The sequence below is a fragment of the Homo sapiens genome, chromosome 7 (assembly GCF_000001405.40).
Source record: "Homo sapiens chromosome 7, GRCh38.p14 Primary Assembly".
NCBI lineage: Eukaryota > Metazoa > Chordata > Mammalia > Primates > Hominidae > Homo > Homo sapiens.
In genome coordinates, this window is record NC_000007.14 from 152329229 (window position 1) to 152348998 (window position 19770).

General features: G+C 38.8%; 1 protein-coding gene across 1 annotated transcript in view, besides 1 other annotated feature; it reads right to left on the reverse strand.

Annotated features, from left to right (window-relative positions):
• The window catches only part of KMT2C (lysine methyltransferase 2C), a 301079-nt gene that overhangs the window by 194304 nt on the left and 87005 nt on the right, over window positions 1-19770 (reverse strand). Inside the window, exon 3 of the mRNA NM_170606.3 lies at window positions 1373-1511. Coding sequence (NP_733751.2) covers window positions 1373-1511 — 139 coding nt within the window. The remainder of the gene's footprint in view (window positions 1-1372; window positions 1512-19770) is intronic.
• Window positions 7761-8000: an enhancer, noted in NCBI's record as "active region_26877". NCBI's record gives its function as "activates an Ori minimal core promoter by ATAC-STARR-seq in GM12878 lymphoblastoid cells {active_cell/tissue: GM12878}" and the evidence as "EXISTENCE:reporter gene assay evidence [ECO:0000049][PMID:35858748]".

A 19770-nucleotide genomic window follows, 5' to 3' on the forward strand; every position in this document is an offset into this window, starting at 1 on the left:
GGAGTGAGATGTCCCAAAAGCAAAAGAAAGAAAATGGTTCAAGAAGATGAGAGAGGTCAGGTGCAGTGGTTCATGCTTGCACTTCCACCACTTAGGGAGGCTGAGACAGGAGGATTGCTTTAGCCCAGGAGTTCCAGACCAACCTGGATAACATAAAGAGACCCAGTCTCTACCAAAAAAAAAGCTTAAAAATTAGCCAAGTATGGTGGCACACACCTGTAGTCCCAGCCACCTGGGAGGCTAAGGTGGGAGGATCACCTGAGCCTGGGAGGTTGAGCCTGCAGTGAGCTGTGATCACACTACTGCACTCTACCCTGGGCAACAGAGTAAGACCTTGCCTCAAAAAATAAAAAAAAAAAGAAAGGAAAGGAAGAAAAGGGAAGAGGAAAAGGAAGTAGAAGGGAAACGAAGGGAGGAAGGAGGGAGAAGGGATGGAGGGGAAGGAGGGAGAAAGGGAGGGAAGGAGGGCGGGAAGGAAGGAGGGAAAGAAGGGAGGGAGACAGGTAAGGAGGGAGGGAAGGAAGGAGATGGGAGTACCAAACTGATGGATAATTTCATTATTTTATTCATGTCTTTCAAATAAGGTCTAAAAACTCTTAAAACTTCAAAGCTGAATTATACAATGATATATTACAGGCCCAGTGTAGTGGCTCATGCCTGTAATCCCAGCACTTTGGGAAGCCGAGGCAGGTGGATCATGAGATCAGGAGATCGAGACCATCCTGGCCAACATGGTGAAACCCTGTCTCTACTAAAAACACAAAAATTAGCTGGGCATGGTGGTGCATGCCTATAATCCTAGCTACTCAGGAGCCTGAGGCAGAAGACTCTCTTGAACCAGGGAATTGGAGGTTGCAGTGAGCTGAGATGGCACCACTGCACTCCAGCTTGGTGACAGAGCAAGACGCCATCTCAAAAAAAGGGAGGGGGGGAGGGGTGGTGGGGGGGGGGAGAAAAAGAAAGAAAAAAAATAGGTTATAATGTCCTGTGTTTCCTTTTTTAATGAATGGGGAGAAGGTAAGGAACAAAACTATCAACTTAAGTTTACAGGTAAGTATCAAAAATTAATCCTCATGCTAAATGCTCACATTTATGTCTTCTGCCAGGAACAGCACATTGGTAATATTCTGTACTGGCCTGAGGTGACTAGAGTAAAACCGTAGTGTGCTGCCCTGCTCTACAATTGCCTAAGCCCACAGATGTAACTCATCCCAACTAAACACAGAGGTATCAGCTTCAAATTTAGCTACTAAATCATAAAATCCCACCCAGATTTTCATCCTAAACTCATACTCCTTGAATTTTCTCTATAGTCATTTCACTGCTTTATTCCTGTCACTAATATCCAATCCAGCTGCATTCATTCTCTAACCTGATTTTGGCTTCTACACCAACAGAGACCAGGGAGTTTGCCGATTCCTCAGACACAGATCGCTGAAGAGTTGGAATTAGCTGTTTGCTGTTATCCACTTCTGCTTCAGCATCCTCTTCTGCAGATTGTTCTTTGATTTCTGCTTAACAGTAAACAAGAGAAAACAAAGAGTCATTTTTGTGTTTATTTTAATCACTGGTGAATGTATCTATAAAGCATAGGTCATAATGTAAAAAGAAACAACAAATAACAATATTTCACTAACACAAGAAAAGTTCATGCACGTAATTAGTGGTATTGTGCATCTTTATTCTCTACCGCAAAATGATTATCAAAATAATGTGAAGCATGGTATACTTTTCCTTGTGCCCAAATTATAGCTGACTCAGAGAAGTTTCATCCTAGTAATAAATGTTAAGAATCTTGGCCAGGCATGGTGGCTCATGCCTGTAATCCCTGCACTTTGAGAGGCCAAGGCAAGCAAATCCCTTGAGCTCAGGAGTTTCAGACTGGCCTGGGCAAGATGGTGAAACCTCATCTCAACAAAAAATGTAAAAATTAGCCAGGCAAGGTGGTGAGTGCTTATAATGTCAGCTACTCAGGAGGCTGAGATGGAAGGATATGCCTTGAACCTGGGAGCCAGAGGCTGCAGTGAGCTGGGATCGTGCCACTGTACTCAGGCCTAGGTGACAAAGCCAGACCCTGTCTCAAAAAAAAAAAAAGAATCTTATTTTTGGCCAGGTGTAGTGGCTCACACATGTAATCCCAGCACCTTGGGAGGCTGAGGCAGGCATATTGCTTGAGCCCAGTAGTTCAAGACAGCCTGGGAAACATGGTAACACCCCATCTCTACAAAAAATTAGCTAAGCATAGTGGCACACACCTGTAGTCCTAGCGACTCTGGTGGCTGAGGTGGGAGAATCAATCAAGCCCCGGCAGCGGAGGCTACAGTGAGCTGTGATGGCACCACTGGACTCCAGCCTAAGCAACACATCTAGATCCTACCTCAACAACAACAACAACAACAACAACAACAAAAAGATTTTTTTTTTTTTTTTTTTTTTTTTGATGGAGTCTCGCTCTGTCCACCCAGGCTGGAATGCAATGGCGCGATCTCGACTCACTGCCACCTCTGCCTCCCGGGTTCAAGCAATTCTCCTGCCTCAGCCTCCTGAATAGCTGGGATGACAGGCGCCCACCACCATGCCTGGCTAATTTTTGTATTTTTAGTAGAGACTGGGTTTCACCACGTTGGCCAGGCCGGTCTTGAACTCCTGACCTCAGGTGATCCACCTGCCTCGGCCTCCCAAAATGCTGGAATTACAGGCATGAGCCACTGTGCCCGGCCAAAAAAAAATCTTATTTCAGGATTATAGCAATTGGTCTACAGAACAAATGTATTTCAAAGTGACTCATTAAAAATTGCTTCACACTTTATAAAATCATCATTAAAAGACTCATCATGTATCTTAATTATTACCCATTCTAAAAGCTTAATATTTGAAAAGGACAAACCTTCACTTTATTGCCTTTTTCCATTCTCCTTGAATCCAACCCCAAACACCTTAAATGTTCTTTCTCAGGAGGCAGCCTAACAGCTGAGAGGATTTCCACACACCACTACCCCTAACATCATTCTTCTTGTTTAATAAAAATTATATGTCCACTCTGTCTGTCATGCTCTATTACTACAATGAAGGGACATTACACCTCCCCACCAGTGCTCATGATGCAGTTCCATGCTCTTGGCTGGCTCCTTCTTTTCTAATTTGAAATTTATTTAGACCTTTCTGCATCACTAACCCCAAACAAACAAAAACATCTTAAAGTCCTTTCAAGCGCCTCTTCTCTGTCTTTCCTTTTACCACCAAATTCATGAGATGGCATGACTGAACTCTACTACCTTCCCCTTCAACTATACCTTTCTAATTGTATCCAGCCTCCTATTATAACAATTATTCTCAGCTGGGTATGGTGATGCACACCTGTAATCCCAGCACTTTGGGAGGCCAAGGTGGGCGGATAACCTGAGGTCCAGAGTTCGAGACCAGCCTGACCAACAACATGGTGAAACCCTGTCTCTACTAAAAATATAAAATTAGCCGGGCTTGGTGGCACATGCCTGTAATCCCAGCTACTCGGGAGGCTGAGGCAGGAGAATTGCTTAAACCTGGGAGATGGAAGTTGCAGTGAGCCGAGATCATGCCATTGCACTCCAGCCTGGGCAACAGGAATGAAACTGCGTCTCAAAACACACACACACACACACACACACACACACACACACACACAAATTATTCTCGTCAACACCACCAATAGACCAACGGCAAAAGAATTAACAATCCAGTTAGCACCCACAAGCTTTCTTCAAACATCCTAAAAGTTCACTTCACACCAGGATCACTTCCTCCTTAGTGAAATGATCTTCTATCTTTTATAAGCACAGAGATATAATAGTCTAATATCTATCTCTTCAGCTGATTTCCTTTAGACCTCTAAATATAGGTACAGCCCTCTATACATCCTTTATATACTCCTGGGGTTGGGTGGTTGTTTTTGTTTTTGAGAAAAGGACTCACTCTGTCGCCCATGCTGGAGTGCAGTAGTATGATCATTCGCATTCTTGGGCTCAAGAATCCTCCCACCTCAGCCTCCCAAGCAGCTGGGACCACAGGCACATGTCACCACATTCTTTTTCATTTTTTTGTAGAGATGGGGGTCTCACTATGTTGCCCAGGCTAGTCTCAAACTCCTGGCCTCAAATCATCCTCCTGCCTTGGCCTCCCAAAGTGCCAAGAATACAGGCATGAGTCACTACTCCCAGCCTATAAGCTCCTCTTTGAAGAACTTATTATCCACATTTCAACAATTTCCTCTGGACTTTATGATTTGTAAGTCAACATCTCTAGCACTAACTCCTCTCCTGAGTTCCACACCATATTTTAACTATACACTAGACATACTTAGCAGCTTGAACACTAAATTTCACACAAAACTTTATCTCTTATCGCTCAGATTAGCACTTCAATCTGACTTCCCTCTTTAAAAAAAGAAAACTATCTTCTACATTCAAAATGAATTTTAGAAAAGTATTTTGAAAAACAATTTGTATAACTATTCTTGGGTAGTTAGAAAAAACTACAAATAATTGTAAATCCTATCAAATCATAAAACTAATGATAACATGAAGCATCAAACAGATGGTTTTGGTTTTCATACTTAAAATAACATGTTTCTTTTCTTTTTTAAAAAATTGAAATAGAAAAGCTGACCTTAAATTAAGTGTTTATACAGTCTATCAATCAAGGTGTCCTGTCTATCCCGAGACAAAATTGATAAAGTATCTAGAATCAAATCTACAAATACGTAAGCTTGTATTCAAAAGGAATAATAAAATGAAAATTTACATTTCTATGTGACAAATGACCTCATGAACAAAATGAATGTGTCACAGATGAGAGAAAATAAATACAATTTGAATCCCCCCCCAAAAAAAAAGGTATTCAGATCAAGAATAGCTAAATAACTCCAAAGATGAACAAGGCACATAAACCTGTAGAACGTAGACAAAGGGGCCGGGTGCGGTGGCTCACGCCTGTAATCCCAGCACTTTGGGAGGCCAAGGCAGGCAGATCACCTGAGGTCAGGAGTTCGAGACCAGCCTCAACATGGAGAAACCCCATCTCTACTAAAAATACAGAATTAGCCGGGCGAGGTGGTGCGTGCCTGTAATCCCAGCTATTCAGAAGGCTGAGGCAGGAGAATTGCTTGAACTTGGGAGGCGGAGGTTGCGGTGAGCCGAGATCATGCCATTGCACTCAAGCCTGGGCAACAAGAGCAAAACTCCGTCTCAAAAAAAGAAAGAAAGAAAGTAGACAAAGGACAAAATCCATACTCTTCATCTTCTATGCTTTCCAAGTTTTAGTAGGACACATAACTGCTCAGCTAGAGACTTTATTCCCCAACCCTCTTTGCAGCAAACCATGGCAAGTTCTCACCGAGAGAATATGACCAGAAGCAACTGCGCAACCTCATCATCTAAAAGGAAGTGAGCTGCTCTTCACTAAATTATAGTCCCCTTTCCTACAGACTGGAATGGACATGACAGCAACCCAGTCGCAATGCTGCCAATGAGGCGCAATGCTCCAGGTGATGGCAGAGAGACAAGACAGAAGAAACCTGGGTCAACAAACAATAATATGGAGCAAAAGACAACTCATCAGCCTATACCTCTCCATCCTCAGAAATATTACATGAGAGAAGATCAATTTGTTTTATTTAAGCCACTGCTATATTTTGGGGTCTCTGTTACAGCAGTTTAACCCATGCCCTAATTAACACAGAAAACTGGTATTAAAGAGTGAAGAATTGCCGTAACAAAATCTTCAAGTGGCTTGATCAGGCCGTGAAACACTGATAATGGAGTCTGAAAATCAACTGACCCTTTTTAGGCTATATTAAAATATTTAATATAGCTATGACCTACAACAATTTGGAATGTAGACTGTACCTACAGAGCCTGTAGCTCTAGGCAAAGCATCTGGAATGACCCAAAGGGTATTCTGTGTTGCCTCTCTCTAGTATTTTTACAGCCAAAGATAGAAAAGAATACAGTTCTGCTAGAGAGACTCTCTCTGCCTGCCTATTATATTCAAAGTACTATAAAATTATCACATATATAAATACCTGTATGAAAGCATTTCATTTCTACTCAGAGAGTCCCAGAATACATTTTGGGATATACCCATTTTATACCATTCTTACTACTGGGTAACAAGAAAGGGGAAGAGAAAAATAAGTGACAAACTTAAGGAGGAATAAGAATAGTGCCTTCAGAAACTTACCAACAATGAGCCAAATGGCCCAGGGTCGCAAATCATTACATTACCCTGAAAACACATTTTTTCCTGGAGCCAGATCCATTTGTCTCCACTCCCAAGCTGTGCTCTCTCCAATCCAGTATGACTTGTCTGCTTCCTTTTACTATGCTGCTATCTACCATATATGACCTCCAGTCAAAAATTTCCTTCTCCTAGCGAAGTATATAACAGTTTCAGCTTTTTCCTTATTTTTATCCCCAAAAAAGAAAATACATAGCACTTTTATTATTTTTAGGGGAGTTTTATTGCTTACAGCTAAGGGAAAAGAAGCAGGACAATGTCTATCTCTCCCTCAAATAAGAGCCAGAAGGAAATAGAAAAGTTAAACGTTAATGTTACTGGTTGGCCAGTAGGTTTGCAGGTATACAACCTTTTGAAATTATGTTTCCTGCATTTCAAAGAGAAAAAAACAGATTCAGACTATAGGGTTTTTTTGTTTTTTTTTTGTTTTTTAAGAAATAGGATCGGCACCAGATCTGATCCCATAAAGCAGGTAAGAAGACAGGCTTTCAGAGTTCATCCTGTTCTCTTTTCTCCTCTAGCTATTATTATTACTGGCTCTGCCCATGATTCTAACTTGGATCTGCTAAAGAAACAGTAGGGAGCGATAGTTTTGGTTTTACTTTTGGTTTAGATTTTGTTGTTTCAGTCTTGTGTTCTTTAACAAATAAAGAGGACTCTATGACTGCTTCCTAGATAGCAGTAATTCCTGCCACAAAATAGGAACAAACAACAAAAAAGGTATCACTAAATATTTGATACTTCAGGTAATAACAGAAGCTGTCTTTAACTGTCACTCTTCATTTGGTAGACTATGTTAGATCTTAGTATCTGTCAAAGTCAAGGCAGGACAACTGAGTGTTTATGTCTCTCTCTCTTCTCCTAATCCTAGTCTTCAAACAATTGTCAGAGTTTGGCAGCAGAATGTGAAACAGACTGCTCTGGATAAAAATGATGTCAACCAGGGATCCAACCAGAGATGTCATCCAGAGATGCTCTGGATGAAATGGCTACAAACCCAGTGATATCTGAGGAAATATGCCTGATGCCAGTACTTAATTATCTCCAGTTTATTATTAAAAATGTACTCTTGAATACTATCCTATGCTTTGCCTAAAGAAAGAAGCTAGCCATTCAACCAATAAAACAGTCCAGGTTTGGCGACTCCACCACTTTGCAGAGTTTTTGCCTTTCATGAGGTCCAATTAGCTCAAACTGCCTGCAAGCCAAACTGTGGAAATTGGAGCAGACATTTAAAAAATTACATTGCATTTTTAAAAATTCAGTGTGGTATTTTTCTTGAATATAAAATCCCTAATATATCTTTTCCCTTACTTTGAACCTGACCTAAAATACAGGCAATGACACTTGGTCACAAAATGCACCAAAGTCAGAAAGGTGGGGACAACTGCAACCCTGGGATAAGGACAGGCAAGGCGATTTCATCTGTAGCCACTATCTACGGATAATCTCCATCCACTAGGTGGCACATGTACAGTGGTAAACTATACTAAGGAACCTAATCATTGACCTGGCGTGGTGGCTCAAGCCTGTAATCCCAGCACTTTGGGAAGCAGGAGGATCACTTAAGCCCAGAAGTTCAAGACCAGCCTGGGCAACATGGCAAAAGCAAAAAAAATTCAGCCGGCCTTGGTGGCACACACCAGTAGACCCAGCTATTCAGGAGGCTGAGGTGGAAGAATCACTTGAGCCTGGGAGGCAGAGGTTGCAGCTGCACCAAGATCACACCACTGCACTCCATCCTGGGTGACAGAGCAAGTCCCTGTCTCAACAACAACAATAAAAAAGAGAACCTAATCACATGTAAGTAGATTCCTAAGAGAACTTGAAGACAATGTGCACTTCATTAAATAGCATCAGCTATGTGCCAGGCATTATCTCTGGGGATGCAAAGATAAATTAGATCTAACCCTTTCCCTTAAATAAGTTCATAACATACCCTCTTTTAAACCTTTACTTTTCCACCTCCAATGACTCTAATTTATCCTACACAAATTGGTTCTAAGACATGAGAAAGTTTAATAGCAAAAGGTGTCTGCTGTGTTAGTTAAAACCAAAGGCTTGGAATCCAATGGTTCCGAGTCTGCATTCTAGCTCTGCCATCTGCTAGCAATGTGACCTTTGGCAAGTTACTTAACTTCATCTCAATTTTACTTTGCTCGTCATTTAAGACAGACAATACCACCTAGTATAAAACTGTCTTTATGATCCAAAAATAAAAAAAAAAGAACGCATGAAAAGCACTTAGCTCAACGTCTTAAGTGTAGTGATGTAGCTGCTATTCTGATGACCTCTATCTACATTCACACACTATAGTCTATGGATTCACTTGTCCACCTCACTTATACAACTTGATTTTTTTTTTTTTTTTTAAAGACAGAGTCTCGCTCTGCCGCCCAGGCTGGAGTGCAGTGGCGCGATCTCAGCTCACTGAAAGCTCTGCCTCCCAGGTTCACGCCATTCTCCTGCCTCAGCCTCCCAAGTAGCTGGGACTACAGGCGCCCGGCACCACACCTGGCTAATTTTTTGTATTTTTTTAGTAGAGACGGGGTTTCACTGTGTTAGCCAGGATGGTCACGATCTCCTGACCTCGTGATCCGCTTGCCTCAGCCTCCCAAAGTGCTGGGATTACAGGCATGAGCCACCGTGCCCAGCCCTCACCTACTCAATTTCTAACTCTTGATGTCACATCATGAATTATTAAATTGCATTATGAGAATTAATGAGAATAAAGAAGACATTTATTTAGCCCCCTCCGATCTATGCTCCAGAGTTAATATATCATTAATTTAGAATGGTTATTTACCAAACAAAATTTTGAGTAACAAGTACATACTATAATTTCTATTCAAATGGTAGTCATTACAAAGATAGTCAAGATCCCTACGTTTAATGGATCTAGATGAAAGACTGAAAATAAAAATAGGACACAATAATGATGATGCTGGTAAGCACATGGCATGATGGGAGTTAAGGGGAAGAGGTGGGGAATACAGCTCAGAAAGGCTTCAGAAAGGTATTAGAAGCCCAGCTAAAACTAAAAGGATAAATCAAAGTGTGCCTAATAGTTCTCTCTCAAGTTTTCTCTTTTAAAAAAAGAATAACATCTAACATATTTTCTTCATTCAAAAGATAAGGAAACTAAAATCTGAAAGTTAATTACAAGCTCAAGATCACAAAGCTAATAGGAAACAAAGCTGGGATACAAAATCGGGTTGTGTAACTCTAAAGCCTGATGTGCTCTTTTCACTACTTCCACCGCCTGGCAGAGCATCAAAGTGTAGCATGTAAGTTTTATAAATACATCAATATTAAAGAGAAATGTTAACAGTCTTACTAGGACCATGTTACTGAGGGATCACTTACTGAATATAAACACTATGAGATAACTAAAAATACTCTTTTTTAAGCACTGCTGAATAAAATTATGAAGTGGACAGAACATTTATCTCACAGCCAAGTTCACAGAAATAAAGCATTTTGATTTTGAACAATTACAAAAGTATTTCCCTCAAAGGTTAAATACTTCTTTGAAAGGACTGTGTGTAGCCTACAAATATACTGAACAAACTTACCAACACTGATAGCATAACAGGCTATGTCAAAAATATTTTAGAGGTCAATTTTGGACTCCCTTATCAATACATTAGTATATTCTTTCAAAGCGTCCTACTTTTTCAATGGATTTTTAAAGTTTACTCACTCAAGGGTTATAGGATTTTAGAGGGAGAAATTACTTCTTTATTTTTACTAACCTCTAATTTTTATTCACTTCCAAAATTTAGAATTCTAAGAAAATATTAAGAATGTAAGCAACAAGCACAGTGGTATTGGTGGATACCTAAGTGTTTGTCACCAACAGAAATCACGGATATTTTCTTATCACATGCAGTTGTTGCAGATATCCCAAAATATCATTCACCCTCATCACTACTTCAAAATTACAGTAGTTATTAAATTCACTGCTAGATTTTATAATTTAAGTGAATTAAAAAGATGTTATAAGATTACAAGTTTGGCTTATTTTTATTTCAATGCAATTGTTTATCTTTGTAATCCTATTTTGGTGTATTTTTATTTTATTCATTTAAAAACATTATTTGAAAAAGAGTCCATGGATTACATCATAGTACCAAAGGGGACTATGGCACTGAAAAAGTTAAGAACCCCTGTTCTGTATGTGCCATTCACAGGAGACCACAGCCCCAATTTGACTATATGCTCTATGAAAACAGGCACTGTATCTGTTTTTATAAACCAGAGCTACCACAAAACCTGAATGATGTTCGATAGTTGCTTAATTAATATTATATAATATAAAGCAAGCAGATAAATCTCATATATAGATACAAAGATTTATAAAAAGCACAGAGAAAAATAATATATTTAAAATGAACTCATATTTACTAACTATGCAAGTAAACACTGACATTCATTATCGACTAGTTATCCAAAAAATATGCCTTCTCCCTCTATGCTTTAATCAACTTTTTTTTTTAAGAGATGGGCTCATGCTCTGTCACCCAGGCTAGAGTACAGTGGCACAATCATAGCTCATCAGAACCTCAAACTCCTGGGCTGAAGGTATCCTCCCACCTCAGCTTCCCCACTAGCCAGGACTACAAGGCACATGCGATCACGCCTGGATTTTTTTTTTTTTTTTTTTGGTAGAGACAGGGATTAACTATGTTGCCCAGGCTGGTCTCGAACTCCTGGGCTCCAGTTATCCTCCCACCTCAGCCTCCCAAAGTGCTAGAATTACAGGCATGAGCCACCATCACCATGCCCAGCCTAATCAGCTATTAAATAGAATAACTGACTTCCCTTAACTCCAGAGAATGGCAATACTTTTCATGCTTGCTTCCTACTAAAACTACAGAAGAAAACATAGCTAAGAAATTGTGTAACCATGTCCCTCCCTTCTTTTGAAAGAAGTCTGCCTCCTGACAGTTATGTTTTCTGGATATATCTCATTGAATCTAGTGTATCCAATGTCATCAAAATTGTACTGTAAAGCTAAAACATTAGCACTATATTAGAAAAAGCAAATTATTTATTAACACTATCTTTATTCACTAAACTACTTAAAATATTGACACTGATTAATAATATGAATATAGTTGCTGCTTTCACAGAACAATGTAAGCAACTAAAAGTAAATACACAAAAAAAGCACTAATTTTCTCTGAGAGTTAACACTTTTACAGGTGACTTACTCTCTTTATAATTACCCACAGTTCCATAAATTTCTACAAATATACATTACTGTTATAATATTTAATGTGATTTTTTAATGCAAATTCAAAAAGCTTAAGAGTCCAATACTTGTCAAAAGCCAAAAAATATGCGGGCATTAATTTAAATAGTAATTGTTTAAGCAGGATAGACTGCTAATAAATGAAAAAAAATAGTAACTGTTGGAAGTCAACTGTTCTCTAGGTGTTTTATTTAGTTGTTATCAGTATTTCCTTTAGTTTTCCTACATAACTTTTAAATGTTAATGGAATTTTTTGCAATTAATAAAAGAAACTAAAATAAACCAACAAATTACAACATACATCTTTATAACAATTATTTCTACCAATATTGATCTTCTTCTGAAATTTAACTTTATTTAGGCCTTAAAAACAAAAATGAACCAATGAAACTGTCTTGGACCCTCTAGACCAGCCCAGGTGTCACCTGAATAGCAATAAATGACTCTGGTGGATGCCAGCAGAGCAGAACTGCCCAGCCAAGCCTGACCTAAATTCCTAACCCACAAGATCATGAAATATGTTTGCTTTTTAAGCCACTGTGTTCTGAAATGATTTGTTACGTGGCAATAAGAAGCTGAATTTTTCATTTTAAACTTCAGTTTGAAAATTATGTATGGCTTATCAAAGACATATAGGTGTCTTTGCTTCACCATCTCTTCAACTAAACCATCGAAGCAGTCAGTATTTCAAACACTGACAGTAACTACAAAAGAAAAAAGCTCAGAGGGTTTTGCTCCAGTCCAGAAGTGACCCATATGATTTCCACCCACAATTCACTGGACACAGTCACATGGGCCTGTCAAGCAGGCTTGGAGCTGTGTAATTCCACCACATATCCAGAAGGGAGAGTGCCAGAACTATTTGACAGACAACACCAATATCTACCACCACAGTATATAATTTTAAATAATATACTAAAGTTAGGGAAAATTTTATCCAAAGAAAAACCTGATACTTCAAAAAGAGAAGTGTCAATTACAAACTTTCATATCAAAAAAAGATAAGAAAGGACAGGTAAAGTTAAATTGTTAGGCCAATTAATGTAATAAGAATCCAGGCTTTTTCTTTGTGCCAAATGTCACCATAATCTGTTGTGAATTAGCAGCTAGACTCAAAATGTACAAACAATAATTTGGGGTGTCCACTTTTTAAAATAATAATATCACTAAAGTTTCTATTCTTGTAAATAAAGGCATATGTAGGGTTTATACAAAGCTGTATACTTAAACCATATGCAAATAACCAAAAGGCGCTGAAGTAAAGTAACACGTGTATGGCTTTGGAACTCCAATTCCACCTGTCTCATCAAGTGTACTGACAAAGCAAAAGACCCCTATCTTGTCTATGTCAATTAAATACTAACATCTGAAAACCACCACTAAATAAGAACCAATAGTCATTACATAAGCAACAGCTAAAAATTAACAAATAATTAGACCAGAAGATAATCTAAGATTTTGATACATAACTCAAGGCAGTATGATAGACATCATTAGTGGAAATCCCTCAAAGGTTAGTCACAAATGGTAATCTTGATATTAAATCCGATAGTTTTACTATTTTAATAAGAATTATTATTTATGAGACATATTTATAATAATGGATAGGTATTAACTTAGTTATTGTTAACAATTATAATCCATTCCACTATAGTTAGAACTGGCTTACCAAATTAGAAAAGGGATATAACTATAGTTAATACATGTAAAAAGCTAAACTGAAAAATCAACAACTCTTGCTAGAACCATAAGGTCAATAAAGTCACAGGGCAAACAGGTACCCTCAGAACTGGAGGAATAGACATGAATCACAACTTACCTGAGCAGAAACCCATGGGTAAAAAGCTCCATGGGTACAAAAACCTGAACCATAATTGACAAAACGTTGGAGGTTCAGTGTGGACGAGTCTGGAAGATACAAACTACAGAGGGACCCAGTCATCGTGGGGCCCCACGGTTTTGTGTTTTACCTCTAGGAGCTCTACCAGTTTCTCACAGTGAACTTCACAGAAAAATATCTTCTTGCTTTCAACAGCAGGAGGGGAAAAGGAACCATTTCTCTTAACAAGGCCTGCCTTCAGGAGAAACTATTTAACTAGAGCCTAACCTACGAGAAGAGAAATAAACTCCAGCCAGTTCTAGCCTAAGAGAACTATCTAACTTTAGCCCATTCTAGGCCATTCTGCCCCACCTAAAAGCAGTGAAAGGGCAGGGTGGGGAGGAAGAGTAAAAAATTCAGACTTCCCCCTCCTCCTACAAGGCCCACCACATTACTACAGGCCTATTTACAGCTGTTGTCTTTACCCAGTGTACTACACCTGGCTATCGAGAAAAAAAATTACAAGGTATACTAAAAAGCAAAAAACACAGTATAGAGCAACATCAGAACTAGACTTGGATGCAGGAAGGAATTTGAAATGATCAGATGAGGAATTGAAAGCAACTATGATTAATATGCTAACGGTTCTAATGGATAAAGTAGACAGCATGCAAGAAGACGTGGGCAATGTAAGCAGAGAACTCGAAATTCTAGAGATTAAAATGATAGAGATTTTTTTAAAACTAACAGAAATGATGAATGCTTTTAGTGGGTCTATTAGTAGACCTCACACAGCTGAGGAAACAATCTCATTGCTTGAAGATATTTCAAAAGAAACTTCCAAACCTGAAAAGCAAAGAGAAAAAGACTGGGAAAAAAAAAAAAAAAAAGAACAGAATGTTTAATACAGAAAACTACAAAAAGGTAACATGTAATGGAAATACCAAAAAGAGACAAAAGAGAGGAAGAAGAAGAAATATTCCTCAAATTAATCTCAGAAACCAAATGACAAAGAACATCAAAAAGGATAAATGCCCAAACAAACTACACCTGGTCACATCATATTAAAAACCACAGAATACTGAAAAAACCTAAAAGAGGTCAGAGGGAAAAAAATACCTAAGGTAACAATTACATCAACTCAGAAACCATGCAAGCAAGAAAAGAGGGAATGAAATATGTAACATGTTGAGAGAAAGAAAACATCAACCTAGAATTCTGTACCCTGCAAAATTATCCTTCAAAAGTGAAGGCTTTCTCAGGCAAACAAAAATTTAAGAATTTGTTGTCAGATGACCTACCTTGCAAGAAATGTTAAAAGTCCTTCAGAGAGAACAAGAACGGTACAGGTCAAAAACTTAGACCTATATCAAGAAAGGAAGAGCATCTCAGAAGGGGCAAGTGAAGATAAAATTTTAAAAAAAAACTTTTTTCTTATTAACTGATCTAATAGATAAGTTTGTTCAAAATAATATCTGCAACAATGTATTCAATTATGATTGCTTATGTATAAATACATATGCTTATGTATAACTGAAATGACTGACAGCAACAATACAAGGGATGCGAGGAAGGAATTAGGATTATTTTGTTCTTATAAAGTACTCACATTACAAGTGAAAATTACAGTGGTGCCATCTTATCCATGGGGAATATATTCCAAGACCCCAGCGGATGCCTGAAACCAAATAACAGCAAACCCAATATATCCAGTATGCTTTTTCAATCATACTAAGATGGCTACTAAGTGACTAACAGGCAGGTAGCATATACAGTATGGATGTGCTGGACCAAGAGATGATTCACATCTCAGGCTGAAAAGCACAAGATTTCATTATGCTACTGAAAACAGCGTACAACTTAAAATTTATGAATTGTTTATTTCTGGAATTTCCCATTTAGTATTTTCAGACCACGGTTAACTGGAGGTAACCAAAACTGTGAAAAGCAAAACCACAGTTAAAGTGGGACACTACTGCACAGTGTTATTAGAAAGTAGACTTGGGTTTGTTGTAAACATATATTACAAACTCTAAGGCAACAACTCAAAAAAAAAAAGAGAGAACTGTGCTAAGAAAGAAGAGAAAACAGAATCATACAAATTGCTCAATTAAAACCACAAAAGGCAGGCTGGGCATGGTGGCTCACGCCTGTAATCCCAGCACTTTGGGAGGCCGAGGCGGGCAGATCACAAGGTCAGGAGATCGAGACCATCCTGGCTAACACAGTGAAACACCGTCTCTACTAAAAATATTAAAAATTAGCTGGGCAGGAAAGCATGCGCCTGTAGTCCCAGCTACTCGGGAGGCTGAGGCAGGAGAATGGCGTGAACCCAGGAGGCGGAGCTTGCAATGAGCCAAGATGATGCCACTGCACTCCAGCCTGGGCAACAGAGTGAGACTCTGTCTCAAAAAATTATAATACAATAAAATAAAATGAAACCACAAAAAGCACAAAAAGAGTGGAAGACAAAAATATGAACAAAGAACAAGGACAATAAATAGAAAACAGTTAACAGATATGGTAGATATCCATTCCATTATATCAACAATCACTCTAAAGCTGGGCATGGTGGCTCATCCCAGTAATCCCACCACTTTAGGAGGCTGAGGCCAGCATTTCAAGACCAGCCTGGGCAACACAGCGAGAACCCGTCCCTCCAAAAAAACTATTTTTTTTTTAATTAGCCAGGAGTGGTGGTGTGCACCAGTAGTCCCAGCTACTTGGGAGGCTGAGCACAGGTAGTCCCAGCTACTTGCGAAGCTGAGGTGCGAGGATGGCTTGAGCCCAAGAGTTCAAGGTTACAGTGAAATATGATGGCACCACTGCACTCCAACCTGGGTGATACAGTGAGATTCTGTCTCTAAAAATAAAGAAGAATCACTTTGAGTAACAATGGTCTAAATATACCAATTAAAAGACAGAAATTGTTATAATAGGTTGTGTTTGTTTGTTTGTTTGTTTTGAGACAGAGTCTTGCTCTGTCGCCCAGGCTGGAGTGCAATGGCACGATCTCAGCTCACTGCAACCTCCACCTCCTGGATTCAAGTGATTTTTGTGCCTCAGCCTCCTGAGTAGCTGGGACAGTACCCGCCACCATGCTCGGTTAATTTTTGTATTTTTAATAGAGGTGGGGTTTCACCACGTTGGTCAGGCTGGACTCAAACTCCTGACCTCAGGCGATCCACCTGCCTCAGCCTCCTAAAGTGCTGTGATTCCAGGTATGAGCCACCGCACATGGCCTAGAATAGATTTTTTAAAAAGAAAACCCAAGTACATATTGTCTACAAAAAAACCCCACTTTAACTATAATATAAAGATACATACGGATAAGAAATAAATGGATGGAGAAAGATATTCCAGGCTAAAAATAATCAAAAGAAAGCAGGAGTAGCTATATTAATTTCAGACAGCTCAGATGTCAAAGTTATCAGGAATAAAGAAAGGCATTTTATAATGATAAAGGGGTTAATTCCCAAGACATCAGTGTGTCTAAACAGAACATCAAAATATGTGAAGCAAAAAAATGATACAATCTCAAGGAGTAAGAGATGAACCCACTATTATCGTTGGAAAGTTTAACACCCCTCTCAGAAATAGATCTGGCGTGCAGAAAATCAACAAAGACATAGTTGAATCTGACACCGTTAATCAACTGGAAATAACTGACATCTAAAGACTACTTCATCAACAATAGCAGAATACACATGCTTCTCATCCACATGGGACACTTACAAGGTAGACCACATTCTGAGCCATAAAACATACCTTAACAGATTTTTAAAAATAGAAATCATACAATGTCTGCTCTCAGATCACGTCAGAATTCAACTAGAATTCGGTAACAGAAAGATAGCTTAAAATCCCAAAATACTGAGACATTAAACAATACACTTCTAAATAACACATAGGTCAAAGAAGAAATCTCAAGAGAAATTGAAAAATATTTTAAACTAAATGAAAATAAAAAGAAAATTTGTGAGATGCAGTGAAAGCAGTGCTTAGAGGAAAAGTTATGGCATTTAACACATATACAGTTGACCCTTGAACAATGAGAGGGTTAGGGGCTCCAACCCCCCCACCACACAGTCAAAAATCTGTGTAACTTTTGACTCCTTGAAAACTTAACTACTAATAGCCTACTGTTGACAGGAAGCCTTACCAATAACATAAACAGTAGATTAACAAATATTTCTGTGTTGTATTATATACCGTATTCTTACAATAAAGTAAGCTAGAGAAAAGAAAATGTTATTAAGAAAATCATGGCCAGGCACAGTGGCTCACACCTGTAATCCCAGCACTCTGGGAGGCCGAGGCGGGCGGATCAGGAGGTCAGGAGATAAGAGACCATCCTGGCTAACACGGTGAAACCCCGTCTCTACTAAAGATACAAAAACTTAGCTGGGCGTGGTGGCATGTGCCTATAATCCCAGCTCAGGAGGCTGAGGCAGGAGAATCGCTTGAACCCGGAAGGCAGAGGCTGCAGTGAGCCAAGATCGTGCCACTGCACTCCAGCCAGGGAGACAAGGAAAAGGAAAAGGAAAGAAAAGAAAAGAAAATCATAAGGAAGAGAAAATACATTTACAAGACCATACTGTATTTACTGATACCATAAGTTTATGTCACCTGTTTACAAGACTGTCTACCTGAAATAGTGGGCAACCTCAGCTACAGACTTCCATCTATGGTACACATCAAGCAGTTCAACTTTTTCTTGTATGTCATGACTTTGCTTCTTGTAGGGAGCACTTTAAGCATCATTAGTGGCACTTCATATGGGTCCCGTGGTGTTATGCACAATTTATAGCACTGCACTGAACATGGTGAAAGATACATGAGAAGCGCCAGATCACTTTTTACCAAGATACCCAATTTACTGGAGAGATGAACTGCTCAAAGATGATTGGTATCCCATGGTGTTTTAATCAGATATTTGCAACACTTGAGTTCACTGCAATAACAACAGGAGGTGGCCACATAATTATTACAGTTGTACAGTATGTACTACAGTAAATTTTATTCAGTTATTATTTAATACTACATCTTTACATTTGTTTACATTTCTCTCAATTGCCAATGGTACCACATACAGTCTTTAAGTGTGTGCTTAAGTTTTGATAAATTTTAACTTTCAGTAATAGATTTGTGTATATTTTATGGTAGTAAACAATAAAACAGACAAGTATCTACATATACTTTATGCATTCATGCATACCTTTTTCTTAATTTTTTAAATATTTCTAGGCTACACAGTCCATCTACGCATTTTTTCAAATTGTCACGAATCTCCACGAAAAATTTCCAATATATTTACTGAAAAAAATCCATTTATCAGTGCATGCACATGGTTCAACCCCAAGCTATTAAAGGGCCAACTGTTTCAGAAAGGAGGGAAAATCTACACTCAGTAATATCAAAAATGAAAAATGGGACATCACTACAGATCCCATGGAATCTTAAATATTCAAGAAATACTATTAACAACTGTATGCCCACAAATTTGATAACCTAGATGAAATGGACCAATTACTTAAAAGACACAATATGCTCAAGCTTACACAAGAAGAAATAATCTGAATACGTCTATACCTATTAAAACAAATTGAATCAAAAATTAATAAACTTCGAATATTGAACACACCCAGTTTGGTTCATTGCTGAATTCTACCAAACATTTAAGGAAGAAATTATACCATTTCTCTATACTCTCTTTCAGGAGATAAAGCATAGGGAAGGCCAGGCATGGTGGCTCACATCTGTAATCCTAGCACTTTGGGAGGCCGAGGCAGGTGGATCACCTGAGGTCAGGAGTTCGAGATCAGTCTGACCAACATGGTGAAACCCCGTATCTTCTAAAAATACAAAAAAAGTAGCCAGGCATGGTGGCAGGTGCCTGTAATCCCAGCTACTGAGGAGGCTGAGGTAAGAGAATCGCCTGAACCCGGGAGGTGGAGGCTGCAGTGAGCCGAGATTGTGCCATTGTACTCCAGCCTGGGCAACAAAAGCAAAACTCTGTCTTAAAAAAAAAAAAAAAAAAAAAAAAAGAAAGAAAGAAAGAAAAAAAGCATAGGGAATACAGACACCTCACCAATAAACATAAACAGATGGGCAGATAAGCATATGAACAGATGTTCCACATTATATGTTATCAGGGAAATGAAAATTAAAACAACAGGGCATCACTACACACCTATTAGAATGGTCAAAATCTGGAACACCAACACCACCAAATGTCAGTAAGTACACAGAGCAACAGAAACTTTTATTCATTTCTAGTGAGAATGCAAAATGGCACAGCCACTTTGGAAGACAGCTTGGTGGTTCCTTACAAAACTAAACATACTCTTGCCATACAATCCAGAAATCATGCTGCTTGGTATTTATCCAAATGAGTTGAAAACTTACATCCACAACAAAA